The 18,438-nt window shown below is 44.8% G+C and overlaps 1 protein-coding gene across 6 annotated transcripts in view, besides 1 other annotated feature; it reads left to right on the top strand.

Moving 5' to 3' along the window:
• Positions 1–18,438, top strand: part of SMYD4 (SET and MYND domain containing 4) — a 50,418-nt gene that overhangs the window by 3,466 nt on the left and 28,514 nt on the right. For 5 of the 6 annotated variants that reach the window (NM_052928.3, XM_024450560.2, XM_047435290.1 and 2 more), the window contains exon 3: positions 14,322–14,466. In NM_052928.3, the coding sequence (NP_443160.2) occupies positions 14,322–14,466 (145 nt within the window). Of the gene's footprint in view, positions 1–11,853; positions 11,872–14,321; positions 14,467–18,438 lie in introns of those variants that run through there. The other variant, XM_047435291.1, reaches the window with a different exon arrangement.
• Positions 2,353–2,492: an enhancer, noted in NCBI's record as "active region_11458". NCBI's record gives its function as "activates an Ori minimal core promoter by ATAC-STARR-seq in GM12878 lymphoblastoid cells {active_cell/tissue: GM12878}" and the evidence as "EXISTENCE:reporter gene assay evidence [ECO:0000049][PMID:35858748]".

The raw sequence follows: 18,438 nt of genomic DNA, 5'->3' as shown, positions 1-18,438 counted from the left end.
CACTGCAACCTCCGCCTCCCAAGTTCAAGTGATTCTCCTGCCTCAGCCTCCCGAGTAGCTGGGATTGCAGGCGCATTCCACCATACCCGGCTAATTTTGTATTTTTAATAGAGATGGAGTTTCGCCATGTTGGGCAGGCTGGTCTCCAACTCCTGGCCTCAGGTGATCCGCCCGCCTTGGCCTCCCAAAGTGCTGGGATTGCAGGCATGAGCCACTGCGCCCGGCCCCCCAGTGCATTTTTATTTCTCGTGTGTATTGCCTATTTGTGTCCCTTGCCCATTTTCTAGCAGGTTGTCTTTATTCTCTTGTTCATTTGTAGGAGATCTTCATAAATCTAGCTGTATAGTTCTTTGCTATGTAAGTTACTATTTGTTGTATAAATTATTCCCAATCTGTTTATCTTTTTTACCCTATTTACAATGTAAATGTTTTACATTTACATTGTATATAAATTGTGTATATATGTTTCAAATTTTTAAATTTCATTTAAAATTTATTTTTAGACACAAGGTCTCAGTATGTTGCTCAGGCTGACCTCAAGCTCCTGGGCTCAAGCGATCCTCCTGTCTTCCTTAGGATGGTGGAGTGAACCATCCTAAGCAAGACACAACCCAGAAGGTATAAAAGAAGATGAGGTTGGGTGCGGTGGCTCATACCTGTAAACCTAGCACTTTGGGAGCCAAAGGTGAGAGGATTGCTTGAGCCCAGGAGCCTGGGCAACATAGTGAGATTCCATCTCTATAAACAAATTTTAAAAATTAGCCAAGCATGGTGGCATGTGCCTGTCGTCCCAGCTACTCAGGAGGCTGAGGTGGGAGGATCACTTGAACCTGGGAGGTCAAGGCTGCAGCGAGCCATGATTGTGCCACTGCACTCCAGCCTGGGTGACAGAACAAGACTATTTCTCAAAAAAAAAAAAAAAAAAGAAAGAAAATGACAGATATGGCTGTATAAAAATGAAGCCAGACAACATGACATGTGCCTGTAATTCCAACTACTTGGGAGTTGATAAAAATGTTCATTGTTTTCTGCTAACATTTTTTTACCTTTAGCTCTCTAATCCTTCTGCACTTTTTCCTCCATCTTTATTGAGGTATAACTGACAAAATATACGTTTAAGGGGTACAACATTATGTTATGATGTATGTATACATCTCCAATTGATTTTGTGTACTATGTGAAGGAATATTCTCACTTTTTTTCCAGGTGGACAATTTTTCTGTAGCATTTAATGCATGACGCATCCTTTCCCCAGTGCTTGCAAATGCCTCAGTTATTAAAATTAAATTCCTACTCATGTTACTCCATTCTCACGTTGCTATCAAGAAATACCCAAGACTGGGTAATTTATAAAGAAAAGAGGTTTAATTGACTCACACATGGCTGGGAAGGCCTCAGGAAACTTACCATCATGGTGGAAGACGAAGGAAAAAAAGGCACAGCCCTCACAGGGTGGCAGGAAGGAGAAGTGCTGAGCAAAGGGGGAAAGCCCCTTATAAAATCATCAGATTTCACCGGGCGCGGTGGCTCACGCCTGTAATCGCAGCGCTTTGGGAGACTGGGGCAGGAGGATCACTTGAAGTCAGGAGTTCAGGACCAGCCCAGCCAACATGGTGAAACCCCATCTCTACTAAAAATGCAAAAAAAAAATTAGCCAGGCATTGCGGCATGTGCCTGTAACCGCACCTACTCAGGAGGCTGAGACAGGAGAATTGCTTGAACCTGGGAGACGGAGGGTGCAGTGCGCTGAGATTGTGCCACTGCTCTCCAGCCTGGGCAACAGAGCAAGACTCCATCTCAAAAAATAAAAATATAAATATAAATAAAATAATCAGATTTCGTGAGAACTCACTCACTATCACGAGAACAGCATGGGGAAACCACTCCCACGATTCTGTTACCTCCCATCAGGTCCCTCCGACAACACAGGCTTCTGGGAAATAACAGTTCAAGATGAGATTTGGGTGGGGACACAGCCACGCCATATCACTACTTATCCACAAATTTGTTTCTAGGCTCTAGATCTGTGCCGGAACAAAAGGGTTTTAATTACTGTGACTTTATAGTGTATTTTATTAGTATTATTTTTCTTTTGAGACTGAGCCTCCCTCTGTCGCCCAGGCTGGAGTGCAGTGGCGCAATCTCAGCTCACTGCAACTTGTGCCTCGTGGGTTCAAGCGATTCTCCTGTCTCAGCCTCCCAAGTAGCTAGGGTTACAGGCACACGCCATCATGCCCGGCTAATGTTTGTATTTTTAGTAGAGACGGGGTTTTACCATGTTGGCCAGGCTGGTCTCAAACTCCTGACCTCAGGTGACCCATCCACCTTGGCCTCCCAAAGTCCTGGAATTACAGGCGTGAGCCACCCCACCTGGCCTATAGTGTCATTTTAGAAACTCTAGAACTCTTCAGTTTCAAGTAACAGAAACCCCCTTCAAAGTATGAAACTTTTAGCTATGAAACTAGGCTATCTGAAGGGAGATCTATTTTCAGGCTAGGTTGTATTCAGGGGCTCAAAGGATGTCATCAGAATGTGTATTTCTTCATGTGTCAGACAGATTCTCTCCATCTAGTGGGTGCTATAACCATTCACAGCCCTGGGCACACCCTGATAGTGTAATAACACCCCAGGGGAAGAGGCTGTCTTTCTGAAGTTTCAGCAGAAAACTTCTGGGTGGGGCTCAGGTCAACTGAATTTTGATCACATGCACATCCCTTCAACCAGAGGTATGAGACTCCTCTGATTGGCCAGGCCTGTGTCATGTGCCCAACCCTGCTGTGAAATGGGGTCTACCCTTCTTCAGCCTCAAAAAATGGATTCCCCACTGAGATTTACCGGAAGTAGAGAGAAAGGGTACTTGAAAGCAGGGGAGTCTCAGTACCCAGGCGGCTCCCAGGAAGTGGCCCAGAGGCCAGCTTCCTGCTCGCACACACATAGTCATTGTTCGTATTCCAGAATATCTTGGGTATTTTGTGTGCATTTCCCCCATGTGAACTTTAGAATTGGCTTGTCAAGTTCTTTTTTTTTTTTTTTTTTTTTTTTTGAGACGGAGTCTCGCTCTGTCACCCAAGCTAGAGTGCAGTGGCGTGATCTCGGCTCACTGCAAGCTCTGCCTCCTGGGTTCATGCCATTCTCCTGCCTCAGCCTCTCGAGTAGCTGGGACTACAGGCGCCTGCCACCACGCCCAGCTAATTTTATTTTATTATCTTTTTTTTTTTTTTTGTATTTTTAGTAGAGATGGAGTTTCACCACGTTAGCCAGGATGGTCTTGATCTCCTGACCTCATGATCCACCCGCCTCAGCCTCCCAAAGTGCTGGGATTACAGGCGTGAGCCACCGTGCCCGGCCAGCTTCTCAAGTTCTATAAAAAATGTTGTTGGGCTTTTGATTGGGAATGTGTTGGATTTATAGATTCACTTAAGGAGACCTGACATCTTTACAATATTAAATTTCCTAATCCAAATAAAGGGTATGTCCATTTCTTTAAGGCTTCTTCTATGTCCTTAAGTAAAGTTTTATAGTTTTCTTTATATAGGTCTTACACATTTCATGTTCGATTTATTCTTCTTGTAAGGTTTTTGTTGTTATTGTGAATAAGGCTTTTCCCCCCAATTACATTCTCTAATTGGTGATTGGTGGTGTAAATAAAAGGTAAGAGTTTTTAAATCATCTGACCGGGTGCAGTGGCTCACACCTGTAATCCCAGCATGTTGGGAGCCCAAGGCGGGTGGATCACCTGAGGTCAGGAGTTCAAGACCAGCCTGGGCAACGTGGTGAATGAAACCCTGTCTCTACTAAAAATACAAAAAATTAACTGGCCATGGTGGCGGGCACCTGTAATCCCAGCTGATACCATGGTGGGTTATGGTAGCCTCAGAATGAATTGGAGAGCTTCCCGCCTTTTTCTGTGCTCTGAAATAGCTTATATAATGTAGGAATTATGTGCTTCTTAAAGGCTAGTAGAAAAATTCTGTAAAACTATGTAGACCAGATGCCTTAGTGAAAATATTTTCCTTCCTTAGTTTAATTTTTTATCAGAATAATATGCATACATACTTTAAGAAATCAAATAGTGCTTCAAAACTTATCAGGAAAAACAGCAACTCCCTGTCCACTCTTCCCCATTCCTGATTCTTATTCCCCAGAGACAGCTACTTTAAATTAACTGTTTCTTCTGGCATTTAATTTTTTTTTTAACAGGTTGAGTCAGAGTCTCACTCTGTTACCCAGGCTGGAGTGCAGTGGCGCGATCTCTGTTCACTGCAACCTCTGCCTCCCAGGTTCAAGTGATTATCTTGCCTCAGTCTCCCGAGTAGCTGGGATTACAGGCATGCACTACTATATATGCCTAAAATATATAATTTTTATATTTTTAGTAGAGACAGGGTTTCACCATGTTGGCCAGGCTAGTCTCAAACTCCTGACCTCAAGGGATCCACCCGCCTCAGCCTCCCAAAGTGCTGGGGTTACAGGCATGAGCCATCACACCAGACCTTTTTTTTTTTTGAGACAGAATCTCACTCTGCCACCCAGGCTGGAGTGCAATGGCACGATCTGGGCTCACTGCAACCTCTGCCTCCCAGGTTCAAGCGATTCTCATGCCTCAGCCACCCAAGTAGCTAGGATTACAGGTGTGTGCCATCACACCCAGCTAATTTTTGTATATTTAGTAGAGATGGGGTTTCACCATGTTGGCCAGGCTGGTCTCAAACTCCCAACCTCAGGTGATCTGCCCACCTTGGTCTCCCAAAGTGCTGGGATTACAGGTGTGAGCCACTGTGCCCAGCCTTCTGACACGTAATTTATTATTTCTAAACATTGCAAATACTGCTCTTTCTTGAGTTTGTATAATTTTAGATGTAATTTTGCTCTCTTCTTCCCAACTCACAGGTATATACTTTGTTTTTTGTTTTTGTTTTTTTGAGACAGAGTTTCGCTCTTGTCACCCAGCCTGGAGTGCAATAGTGCCGTCTTGGCTCACAGCAGCCTCCGCCTCCTGGGTTGAAGCGATTCTCCTGCCTCCACCTCCCGAGTAGCTGGGATTACAGGCATGCACCACCGCGCCCAGCTAATTTTGTATTTTTAGTAGAGACGGGACTTCTCCATATTGGTCAGGCTGGTCTCAAACTCCTAACCTCATGTGATCCACCCTCCTCGGCCTCCCAAAGTGCTGGGATGACAGGCGTGAACCCCCTTGCCCGGCCTATACTTTGTTTTTCCCTCATTCCCTCATGATAACTGTTATATAACCAATAGAGTATTAAATTGATTGAACCAACATTCAATGCATACATTCTTATGTCTGTGTGAGTCTTGTTCACATGAACCGTGAAGGATGCTTTGAATTACATTTCCTTTCTTGTACTGCTCTCGTTTCCCCTGGGGTTAATAAATCACCTCCATTTTTGTTTGCTCTGTATGTCTCTCACTAATTCATACCCAGACCTCTCTCCTTAAAAACAAGTTAGCTCAAAGAGCTATTTGTAATTCTGTTCCATCACAATCTAAAGTAACCAAAAAAGATTTAAACTTCTGATCTCCACATGCATGCCTGTTAGGTAAAAATAGGAACTGGCCCTTTAAAGTTTAAAGCCAAGCACACACTTTTCTTTCTTGCCAATAGACATTCTTTGAGGAATGTTTTCCCACAAGAGATGCCTTTCATCTATTGAAAACCTTTTGAGACACACGACCTCCCACTGTCCACCCCTACCTCTCCACTCCTGCAATTAATAATCTCCCAGAGTGTTGTAGGAAATTCTTAATAGCTTCACTATCCACATTCACAGGCTTATTGTTTGTTTTTATTTTGTGCTGATTCAACTGGAATAACCTGTGTCAGAAAACAAGGACGTGCTCGAAGACTAATAGATTTATATAAAAAAGAGCGTAGGCCAGGTATGGTGACCCCATTCACACCTGTAATCCCAACACTTTGGGAGGCTTAGGCAAGAGGATCGCTGGAGCCCAGGAGTTTGAGACCAGCCTGGGCAACATAGTGAGACTGTGTCTCCACAAAAACATAAAAAGTTAGCTGGGCATGGTGTCACATGCCTGTAGCCATAGCTATTTGGGAGGCTGAGGTGGGAAAATTGCTTGAGCCCAGGATGTCGAGGCTGTCGTGAGCTATGATGGTACCACTGTCCTCCAGCCTGGGCAACAGAGCAAGACCCTGGATCAAAAACAACAAAAAAGAACATAGGAACCAGTCTGAAGAGGTTGTCACTGGCCAATATTAGCATAATTTGACCATGAAAAAGTATAATGGTGATAATAGTTTATGATAATAAATTGTTTAAGTCCATGGTGGTACTCTAAATATCCGAGTTTACTTTCTTAATTGACTTTTGGCCGGGCATGGTGGCTCATGCCTGTAATCCCAGCCCTTTGGGAAGCCAAGGCAGGTGGATCACCTGAGCTCAGGAGTTTGAGACCAGCCTGGCCAACATGGCAAAACCCCATCTCTACTAAAAATGCAAAAATTAGCTGGGCGTGGTGTCAGGTGCCTGTAATCCCAGGTACTTGGGAGGCTGAGGCAGAAGAATTGCTTGAACCCCAGAGGCGAAGGTTGCAGTGAACCAGGATCGTGCCACTGCACTCCAGCCTGGGAAACAGAGTGAGACTCTGTCTCAAAACAAACAAAAATAAGTAAATACATATTATGTCTGTGTAAATATTGCTCACATGAAACAAGTAAAAGAAGGAAAAGGAGAAAGTTTGTCTTTACCAAAGATTGCCAGCTAATAAATTTAGAAATAATGGTAGAATTAGAAAAATCGCCATTTTGTAACCCCTAGTGTGATGGAATGATTCTGGCAATTATCAGTAGATGCGCAAACCTTTAGAAGTAACATCACTGGGAAACAGGCTCTTCACATGATCTCAAAGTATGGCCCTATAGAGTATTTAAGTACAAGGGAAAGGTGTCTTTACATTGCAGAGATTCAGCAATTGCCACATTAAGTAAGTGACCAAACTTAGCTTCCATAATACTGGGGAGACATTATATGTCTCCTGATTTGAGGCAACAAGAAGTATATAGATTTAACTATGTAGTCATTTTGTTTGTTTGTTTGTTCTGAGACGTAGTCTCTCTCTGTCTCCCAGGCTGGAGTGCAGTGGCACAATCTCTGCTCACTGCAACCTCTGCCTCCCGTATTCAAGCGATTCTCCTGCCTCGGCCTCCTGGGTAGCTGGGATTACAGGCATGCACCACTGTGCCTGGCTAATTTTTGTATTTTTAGTAGAGACGGGGTTTCACCATGTTGCCCAGGGTGGTCTCGAACTCCTGACCTCAGGTGATTCGCCTGCCTCGGCCTCCCTAAGTGCTGGGATTACAGGTGTGAGCCACCACACCCAGCCGTATTCTTAATAAAAATTGTTTAATGTGAATCTAACCATGAGGAAACAATGAAGCGAAACCAGAATGTGAAACGTTTTTCTGGTGTTGAATCTTTAAAAAAAATTACTCATTAAAAAAATTGTAATTGGCCAGGTGCAGTGGCTCACACCTATAATCCCAGCACTTTGGGAGGCTGAAGCAGGTGGGTCCCTTGAGCCCAGGAGTTTGAGGCCAGCCTGGGCAACATAGCGAGACCCCATCTCTATTTTATAAAAATAAAAAGTAATTTAGCCACGCATGATAGTACGTGCCTATAGTCCCAGCTACTCGGGAGGCTGAGGCAGGAGGTAGAGGTTGCAGTGAGCAGAGGTCGTACCACTGCACTCCAGCCTGAGCAATGGAAGTGAGACCTGTCTCGAAAAAAAAATTAAAAATAAATTTAAAAATTATACCACTATCTAAAAAGAGGCTAAAGAGAAATAACTAAATTCAATACATGAGAACGTTGATCTTGGATTGGTTAGGGTGAGAAAAAGATACAACAGACATATTAGGAATAATTGGTAACATTTACATTTAAATAATATTTGAATTACTGTTAATTTTTTAGTGATAATGATATTATAGTAATATAGGAGAATGTCCTTATTTTTAAAGCAGAGGCCTGCGAATATTTAGAGGTGAACATCCATGATGCCTGTACTTACTTTCAAATGGCTTAGAGAAAAAATGATGCATATGTGGATATGTCCCAGGTATTAAGCGATTATGTCCAATCTCAGTAATCTGCACTCTACTTTGGAGCCAGAGCTGGGACTTTCTCCTTCGCCAGTTAGCTCCATGAAAGGCTTTACATCCCCAGAGTTCTAGAGAGAGATGGCAAGGCTGGAGAAAGAAAAAATGTGTTTTTTTTCTGTCTGTATCCTAATGACAAGCTACATGCAAAAGGCTGAAGTTGTGCCTTCATATACAAAAATTAATTCAAAATGGATCAGAGACCTAAAGTTAAGAGCTAAGATTGTAAACAACTTTTTTTTTTTTTTTTTTTGAGACAGAGTCTTGCTCCATCGCCCAGGCTGGAGTGCAGTGGCACGATCTCGGCTCACTGCAAGCTCCGCCTCCCGGGTTCACGCCATTCTCCTGCCTCAGCCTCCCGAGTAGCTGGGACTACAGGCACCCGCCACCACGCCTGGCTAATTTTTTGTATTTTTAGTAGAGACGGGGTTTCACCATGTTAGCCAGGATGGTCTCAATCTCCTGACCTCGTGATCCGCCCACCTCGGCCTCCCAAAGTTCTGGGGCGTGATCCACTGTGCCCGGCCAATTGTAAACTTCTTAAAAGAAAACATAGGGGAAAATCTTGACATTGGATTTAGCAGTTATTTCTTGCATATGACACCAAAAGCACAGGCAACAACAAAAAAAATAAACTGTACTTTATCAAAATTAAAACTTTTAGGCTGGGCATGGTGGCTCACAGCTGTAATCCCACCACTCTTTTGAGAGGCCAAGGCGGAAGGATCACTTGAGCCCAGGAGTTCGAGACCAGCCTGGGCAACAAGTGAGACCCCGTCTCTACAAATAATATAGCCAGGCATGGTGGCGCATGCCTGGAGCCCCAGCTACTCAGGAAGCTGAGGTGGGAGGATTACTTGAGCCTGGGAGGTCAGTCAAGGCTGGAGTGAGCCATGACCAAGCCAACTACACTCCAGCCTGGGCGACAGAGCAAGACCTTGTCTCAAAAAAAAACAGTTTTAGGCCAGGCGCGGTGGCTCACGCCTGTAATCCCAGCACTTTGGGAGGCTGAGGTAGGCAAATCAGTTGAGGCCTGGAGTTTGAGACCAGCCTGGCCAACATGGTGAAACCCTGTCTCTACTAAAAATACAAAAATTAGCCAGGCGTGGTGGTGCGTGCCTGTAATCCCGGCTACTCGGGAGGCTGAGGCAGGAGAATCACTTGAACCCGGGAGGCGGAGGTTGCAGTGGCCGAGAAACTGAACTTCTGCCTGGGCGACAGAGTGAGACTGTCTTAAAAAAAAAAAAAAAAGGTTTTGTGCACCAAGGACAGTATCAAGAGAGTGAAAGGATAACCCACAGAATGGGAGAAACTATTTGCAAATCATGTATCAGATAAGAAATTAATATCCGAAATATATAAAGAACTCCTACAACTCAATAACAAAAAAATCAGATTAAAAATAGGCAAAGGACTTGACTCATTTCTCCAAAGAAGATACACAAATAGCCAGTAGACACACGAAAAGATGTTCAACATCATTCATAATCAGAGAAACACACACCAAAACCACAGTGAGAGATCACTTCACACACCTACAAAAAGGCCATAGTGTGCGATCATTGTGCCTGTAGCTAGACTGTGCCTGTTGCCCAGGTTAGAGTGCAGAATAGCTACTGCCCTCCAGCCTGGGCGACAAAGGGAGACTCCATCTCTTAAAAAAAAATTTTTTTTTTTTTTGAGACAGAGTCTCGCTTTGTCGCCCAGGGTGGAGTGCCGTGGTGTGCTCTCGGCTCACTGCAACCTCCGCCTCCTGGGTTCAAGTGATTCTCTTGCCTCAGTCCCCCGAGTAGCTGGGATTACACACACGCACCACCACACCTGGCTACTTTTTTGTATTTTTGGTAGAGACGGGGGTTTCACCTTGTTAGCCAGGACGGTCTCAATCTCCTGACCTCGTGATCCACCCGCCTCGGCCTCCCAAAGTGCTGGGATTACAGGCGTGAGCCACCGCGCCTGGCCAAAAAAAAATTTTTTTAAATAAGCAAAATTCTGGTTTATACTACAACATGATGTACCTTGAAAACTTTTTGCTAAGTGAAATAAGTTAGACACAAAAGGAAAAGTAATGTATGATTACATTTACATGAAATACCTGGAATAAGTAAATTCACAGAGGCAGAAAGCAGAATGGAGTTTGCCAGGGGATGTGGAGAGGGAGGAATGAGGAGTTATGGTTTAATGGGTAGAGTTTCAGCATGGGATGATGAAAAAACTTTGGAAATGAATAGTGCTGATGGTTGGATAATATGAATGTATGTAATGCCAGTGAACTGTATGCTTAAAAAATGGTTTAAATAGGCCGGGCATGGTGGCTCACACCTGTCATTCCAGCACTTTGGGAGGCCAAGGCGGGCGGATCACCTGAGGTCAGGAGTTCAAGACCAGTGTGGCCAACATGGTGAAACCCCGTCTCTCCTAAAAAGACAAAAATTAGCTGGTCATGGTGGCAGGTGCCTGTAATCCCAGCTACTCGGGAGGCTGAGGCAGGAGAATCGCTTGAACCCGGGAGGCGGAGATTGCAGTGAGCCGAGATCACACCATTGCACTCCAGCCTCGGTGACAGAGCGAGACTTCGTCTCAAAAAAAAAAACATTAGATTGCTTTTTCCATCTTACTACCTCAATTTTTTTTTTTTTTTTAAGGCAGGGTCTTGCTGTGCTGACTGGGCTGGAGTGCAGTGGTGTGATCGTAGCTCACTGTAGCCCTGACCTTCTGGGCTCAAGCGATCCTCCCACCTCAGCCTCAATTTTTTTATCATAATATTCCAGAAGACATTAAAAAAAAAAAAAAAAGAATCGGCTGGATGCAGTGACTCACACCTGTAATCCTAACACTTTGGGAGGCCAAGGCAGGAAAATCACTTGAGCTCAGGAGTTTGAGAACAGCCTGGGCAAGGTATTGAGACATCATCTCTACTAAAAAATCAAAAAAGTATTCTGGGCACAGTGACTCAACACCTGTAATCCCAGCACTTTGGGAGGCCAAGGCGGGTGGATCATGAGGTTAGGAGTTGGAGACCTGCCTGATCAACATGGTGAAACCCCGTCTCTACTAAAAATACAAAAATTAGCTGGGTGTGGTGGCGGGCACCTGTAATCCCAGCTGCTCAGGAGGCTGAGGCAGGAGAATCACTTGAACCCGGAAGGCAGATGTTGCAGTGAGCCGAGATCGCACCACTGCACTCCAGCCTGGGTGACAGAGTGAGACTCCATCTCAAAAAAAGAAAAAAAAAAAGACATTGAGTTCATAATCTATTGTTAGGCAAGAAGAATTTTGCTATTATTACTGTTTACCACAAACCTTTTGTTTGAACTAGGGTTTTTAGGTTTAACCTAATTTAAAACAAAAACAGAAAAAAGAACAAGCTCTGCGGTGTACCAGACAGGCATAGGGTATTGCCTTCATATTTTCTGGACTGGAGTAAATGTAGAACAGGCAAGCACACCTCTTAAATTAAATAAAATCTTTCCTAGTTTTTCTTTTTTGTATTATTTGACCCAGGTTGGAGTGTGATGGTGCGATCTCAGCTCACTGCAACCTTCACCTCCCAGGCTCAAGCGATTCTCGTGCCTCGGCCTCCCAATAGCTGAGACTACAAGTGCTTGCCACCACGCCCGGCTAATTTTTGTATTTTTTGTGGAGGTGGGTTCCACTATGTTGCCCAGGCTGGTCGCAAACTCGTGGACCAGGTGACCTGCCCACCTCGGCCTCCCAGAGTGCTGGGATTACAGGTATAAGCCACTGCACCCAGCCCTATTTGTGACTTGTCTGTGTTGTATTTAAATATTAATAAAATCATATTTGATACTAACTTTGTTTTTACCTCATAGCAAAGATAATGTTTTATAAAATGTTAATAGATTCAAACACAAAAGCATTATACTGAGTCACAATGTGAAAGGTGTTCCTTATTGTGGGTCTTTGTAAACAAAAATTTTTAACTTACTTGTAAACATTCTCCAGGGCTTTTTGTTGTTGTTTTTTGTTTTTTTGAGACAGGGCCTTGCCCTGTCACCCAGGCTTGAATGCAGTGGGGCCCTCCTGGCTCACTGCAGCCTTGACTTCCTGGGCTCAGGCAGTCCTCCCACCTCAGCCTCCCGAGTAGCTGGGACTACAGGCATATGCCACCGCACCCAGCTAATTTTTGTATTTTTTGTAGAGACAGGGTCTTCCCATGTTGCCCAGGCTAGCCTCCTGAGCTCAGGCAATCTTCCCTCTTTGGCCTCCCAAAGTGCTGGAATTACAGGCGTGAGCCACCGCACCTGGCCATTCTGCAGCTCTGTGATTTCTTCTTTGATTCAAGAGTTACTTAAGATAATTTTTAGTTTCCATGTCATTTGTGTTTCTACTTTTGTTATTCATATTTTACTTTATGGCATTATAGTCAAAGAGAATAGTCTAGGTTATTCTATATTATTTCTTTTTATTGGAAAATAGGTATATTTTTTGTTAGTATGTGTATATGTCTCTATATTTATGTATTAGTTCAGCTTTATTAATTTTGTAGAGCATTTGTATATTTATTTCTTAAACTTCTTAGTTTGAAATAATTTCAGACTTACTTGCAAAAATAGTATAAAGAGGCCAGGCACAGTGGCTCACACCTGTGATCTAGCACTTTGGGAGGCCAAAGTGGGCAGATTGCCTGAGCTCAGAAGTTCAAGACCGGCCTCGGCAACATGATGAGACCCCATCTCTACTAAATATACAAAAAATTAGCTGGGCGTGGTGGCTCACACTCCTAGCTACTCCTGAGGCTGAGGCACAAGAATCACTTGCACCCAGGAGGCGGAGGTTGCAGTGAGCCGAGATCGTGCCAGTGCTGCACTACAGCCTGGGCAACAAAGTGAGACTCTGTCTCCAAAAAAAAAAGTACAAAGAATTGGTGAATTCTTCCAAATTTCGCAAGTGTTAACGTTTTACTACATTTACTTTATGATTCATTCTCATTATCTCTCTTCTGTCAGCCACTCAAGTATTTTCAGCAGTTGAAGTGGAGAATACTCCTTGATTCAAAAGACACCATATATTAGTCTCATTTTCCAGACTCAAGATCCTGGCTGGGCCCAGTAGCACATGCCTGTAATCCCAACACTTTGGGAGGCCCAGGCAGGCGGATCACTTGAGGTCAGGAGTTCAAGACAAACCTGGCCAAAATGGTGAAACCCTGCCTGTACTGAAAATACAAAAATTGGCTGAACGTGGTGGTGCATGCCTGTAATCCCCGCTACTCGGGAGGGTGAGGCAGGAGAATCACTTGAACCCAGGAGACAGAGTTTGCAGTGAGCTGAGATTGCACCACTGCACTCCAGCCTGGGTGACAGAGCGAAACTCTGTCTCAAAAAAAAAAAATCTTTTATGATGTATGATCCGAGGGATGGTTCGTTGGCCAATAATTATGAGATAAAGAATAAAAAATTAGCCTTCAGTCCTCTAAATAGAAATTCTGGCCAGGTGCGGTGGCTCACGCCTGTATTCCCAGCACTTTGGGAGGGTGAGGCAGGTGGACCATTTGAGGTCAGGAGTTCGAGACCAGCCTGGCTAACATGGTGAAATGCTTTCTCTACTAAAAATACAAAAATTAGCTGGGCCTGGTGATGGGCGCCTGTAATCCCACCTATTCAGGAGGCTGAGGCAGGAGAATCACTTGAACCAGGGAGGCGGAGGTTGCAGCGAGCCGAGATCATGATTCTGCACTCCAGCCTGGGTGACAGTGAGACTCCATCTCAAAAAAAAAAAAAAAAAAAAAAAGAAATTCTGCTGATCATTTGAGCCCAGGAGTTCAAGACCAGCCTGGGCAACATGGCAAAACCCCACCTCTACTAAAAGTACAAACATTAGCCAGGCCTGGTGGCACACATCCTCCCAATTAGTGCCAGCTACTCAGGAGGCTGAGGTGGGAGAATCATCTGAGCCTGGGAAGTCAAGGCTGCAGTGAGTGGAGATGGCACCACGGCACTCCAGCCTGGGTGACAGAGTGAGACCCTGTCTCAAAAAATTCTGGTCCCTGTGTCTCTGAGACTATGAGATTTCTTTCCTCTAATCACATTGCACAATGTACATATCCTCATGTGTGTGAAATGTTTTGCGGGCCCACTTTCTTGTTTTGAGGGCAATGGTTTAGAGCTTTCCTTGAAATAACACATTTCTGCTTACTTTGTTTCCTCCTTTCTTCATGCAGACCTGAGGATGAGCTGTTTCTAAAAAGACTTTCTAAAGGTTACTTGGTGGGAAAGGACTCGGACGCTCCTCTTTTCTACAGAGAAGAAGGAAACAAAAAATTTCAGGAGAAAGATTACACAGGAGCTGCAGTGCTGTACTCTAAGGTAAAACACTCCCAGCTCAAGCAATTTATTATTTATTTTTCTCTGAGACAGAATCTTGCTGTGTTACCCAGGCTGGAGTACAGTGGTATAATCTCAGCTCACTGCAACATTCGCCTCCTGGGTTCAAGCGATCCTCCCACCTTAGTCTCCTGAGTAGCTGGGATTACAGGCATGTGGCACCACGCCCAGCTAATTTTTGTATTTTTAGTAGAGATGGGTTTTCGCCATGTTGGCCAGGCTGGTCTCAAACTACTGACCTCAGGTGTTGCGCCCGCCTCAGCCTCCCAAAGTGCTGGGATTACAGGCATGAGCCACCATGCCCTGCCCAGCCCAGCAATGTAACAATGCGTGTTTCTTCAGGAGATGGACCCATATTGCTAAATTGTATAGCCAGTGTTATCTTTGTCTATAATTTATTGAATGGATTTGAAAAAGAAACCTGGCGGAATTCTGCTGTGGTTATAGTCTGAAACAAAAGGTAGTTTTTAGGCCCAGCACAGTGGTTCACACCCGTAATCCCAGCCCTTTGGGAGGCTGAGTCGGGAGGATCACTTGAGGCCAGGGGTTCAAGACCAGCCTGGACAATATAGGGAGACCCCTTCTCCACACACACAAATTTTTTTTAAATTAGCCTGACTAGTGGTGGCATGCATCTGTGGTCCTGAAACGGAAAAAGTTCCCTTGTTCCCCTCGCAGGGCGTGCGATGGAGGTGTGGCTCGCTTCCTCCGTGCCCTGCTACTCAAACCTCTAGGGGAGCATATAGATGGGCAGGCTGCGGGGCTCCGACCCCAGGGCAGTGTCTAGGGATGAATGTTTACAGTTGAAGCCCCAGTGGGCGTGTGTTACAGGGTGCTCTTTTAGTTTGCTGTCTATACGCGGCTTGTGTTAACCAGCTCAGTTAAACTCTCCACCTTGTCGCAAGGACAGAGGGCTTCCTGTATCCCGGGTTCTTGCCTTGGTGTGCTGGAAGAATCGGATCACACGTGGGCTTTAAGAATGAGTGCAAGGTTTTATTGAGTAGAAGTAGCTCTCAGCAGGTTGGGAGCCAGAAGGGAGATGGTTTTCCCCTGGAGTCAGGCCACTCAGAGGCCCACCTCTTTACCAGCTGCTCTGGCCAAAGTCCGTGTCCTTCTGCACTGGTCGATGGCATGCCGATGCCTGTCGGCTGCTCTTCCGCCGGCATACTCCTGACAACATCCAGCTGCTTATGTGTCTGCCTGCTAGGGTCTTGGGTTTTTATAGGCCCAGGCTGGGGGGCGTGGCAAACCAGGGTGGTCTTGGAAAATGCAACATTTGGGCGCGAAGGCGGGAGTGCTTGTCCTCACCTGGGTCAGTGGACACAGGCCCAAGGGTGAAGCCCTACCCAGGGACCCGCCTTTCTCTACACAGCAGTTCCCTGCCCCCCTCCCATATCAGTCCCAGCCAGTCAGGAGGCTGAGGCAGGAGGGTCACTGAGCCCGGGAGTTCCAGGCTTCAGTGAGCTGTGATCACTGCAACATTTGCCTCCCGGGTTCAAGCGATCCTCCCACCTTAGTCTCCTGAGTAGCTGGGATTACAGGTATGCGGCACCACGCCCAGCTAATTTTTGTATTTTTAGTAGAGATGGGTTTTCGCCATGTTGGCCAGGCTGGTCTCTGCACTACCCTGGGTGACAGAGTGAGACCCTGACTCAAAAAAAAAAAAGTAATTTATGTGTTCTGAATTTCTTCAAGAAACTTCTATTTCCATATTCCTTCCGATACCCTGTAGCAGTAAGCTTATGGGCCCCTCGCCTGCCTTGCCCATGTCTGTCAGCCCTTGTTGAACTACATGCCATTTTTGTCTGAATGTCTGATGAGACTGTTAGCTTGATAGAATTAGTAATCTATTATTCTTGGCTGGGCACAGTGGCTCACACTTGTAATCCCAGCCCTTTGGGAGGCTGAGGCAGGAGGATTGTTTAAGCCCAGGAGTTCAAGACCAGCCTGGGCAACATAGCAAGACCCCATCTGTAAAATAACGTATAAATGGGCCGGACACAGTGGCTCACACCTGTAATCCCAGCATTTTGGGAGGCCGAGGTGGGTGGATCAGGAGATTGAGACCGTCCTGGCTAACATGGTGAAACCCCATCTCTACTAAAAATACAAAAAATTAGCCGGGCACGGTGGCGGGCGCCTGTAGTCCCACCTACTCAGGAGGCTGAGGCAGGAGAATGGCGTGAACCCGGGAGGCGGAGCTTGCAGTGAGCCGAGATCGCGCCACTGCACTCCAGCCTGGGCGACAGAGCGAGACTGTCTCAAAACAATAATAATAGGCCGGGCGCGGTGGCTCACGCCTATAATCCCAGCACTTTGGGAGGCCGAGGCGGGTGGATCACAAGGTCAGGGGTTTGAGACCAGCCTGACCAACATGGTGAAACCCCGTCTCTACTAAAAATACAAAAAAATTAGCTGGGCGTGGTGGCGGGCGCCTGTAATCTCAGCTACTCAGGAGGCTGAGGCAGGAGAATTGCTTGAACCCGGGAGGCAGAGGTTGCAGTGAGCCGAGATCGCACCACTGCACTCCAGCCTGGGCGACAGAGCAAGACTCTGTCTCAAAAAAAAAAATAATAATAATAATAACAATAATAATAATGTATAAATGACTCTTATTGTCCTGCTTTCATAGTAAGAACTGGAACAAGATCCCCTGAGCAACTTCCTTCCGTAGCTTTTAAGATACTTATATGGGCTTAAAGCAGGAGTATGACAATCTCTTGCACCAGTTCTGTGACCTTGGATATTAAAAGAATAAGTTTAAATTTGAAGGGTAGGCTGGGCACAGTGGCTCACTCGTGTAATTCCAACACTTTGGGAGACCGAGGCGGGAGGATTGCCTGAGCCCAGGAGTTCAAGACAGGCCTAGGCAACACAGCGAGGCCCTGTCTCTGTTAAAAACAAAATTTGTTTTTCATTTGAAGGGTGTACATCCTACTCTGAATCTTTAACAGGTTTATGCTTGAACGTGCTTGAAGTTTGGGATTAATTTTCCAAAAACGATCACACCTACAACAGCAGCTTCTACAGCTGATAAAATCCCTGCTTTGTAGTGTTGTAATAAAGTATTTAGCTAAATAATGTAAGCTTTAGTGGTTGCTGAGGGATTAAAGTCCATTAGGTGTAATGATCCAGTGATAAATGGCTTAATAGTTCTTTTTTCAGAGCTAATCTCTTCAACTTTATGTATGTGCATCATAAATGTGATCACATGGGAAGTTCTTCAAGGAAAACAGGGAAAATAAAAACTGAAGCCAGAGAAAAAATTAAGGTTTGCTCTGAATGTGGAGGGAGATGAGCCTTCCTATTTCATGAAGCCAGTATGTTGGTGATTATGGTACTCTGCAATTTTCTAGAAAGCTGCTATTTTCTTTCTTTTTAAAAATATTTGTTGTTTTTGTCTGATTGTAAAAGTAATATATGTTTACTTCGGAAAGTACAGAGGAGCATAAAGAGTAAAAAAAAACCTCATAACCAGTGATAGGCACTGTTAACATTTTTGCTTACGTCCATCCAGCCAGACTTTTTCCTCCGAAAATACGTTTTTCTTTTACAAAATTGGGATAATGCTGCACTTTCTCTTTTGTGACCTGCTTTTTTCCTTCGACAATTGATTGTGCCCATTTTCTCATGTTATTAAATTTTCCACTGGAACATGGTTCTTTACGGCTGGCTTAGTGTTCCATGACAGAGAAAAAACCGTACTTGATTTCACATCTCCTAATGTTGGCAAATTGTTCGGGATCATAATACTGCAATGAGCATCTTTCTATGTAAATATGTGTATATATCTGATTGCTTGCTTAGGATAAATTCCTAGAAGGGTAATTGCTGGGGCAGAAGGAATGTATTTTTTAAGGTCTTTGGTATTTGATGCTGAATTGTTCTCCAGGAAAGAACTAGTTAACATCCCCTCTGGCAGACTATGGGGATATTAATTTCTCCATATCCCAA

This window comes from Homo sapiens, chromosome 17, assembly GCF_000001405.40.
Source record: "Homo sapiens chromosome 17, GRCh38.p14 Primary Assembly".
Lineage (NCBI taxonomy): Eukaryota > Metazoa > Chordata > Mammalia > Primates > Hominidae > Homo > Homo sapiens.
The sequence above is the reverse complement of the archived record's forward strand: the minus strand, read 5'-3'. Positions and strand labels throughout refer to the sequence as shown.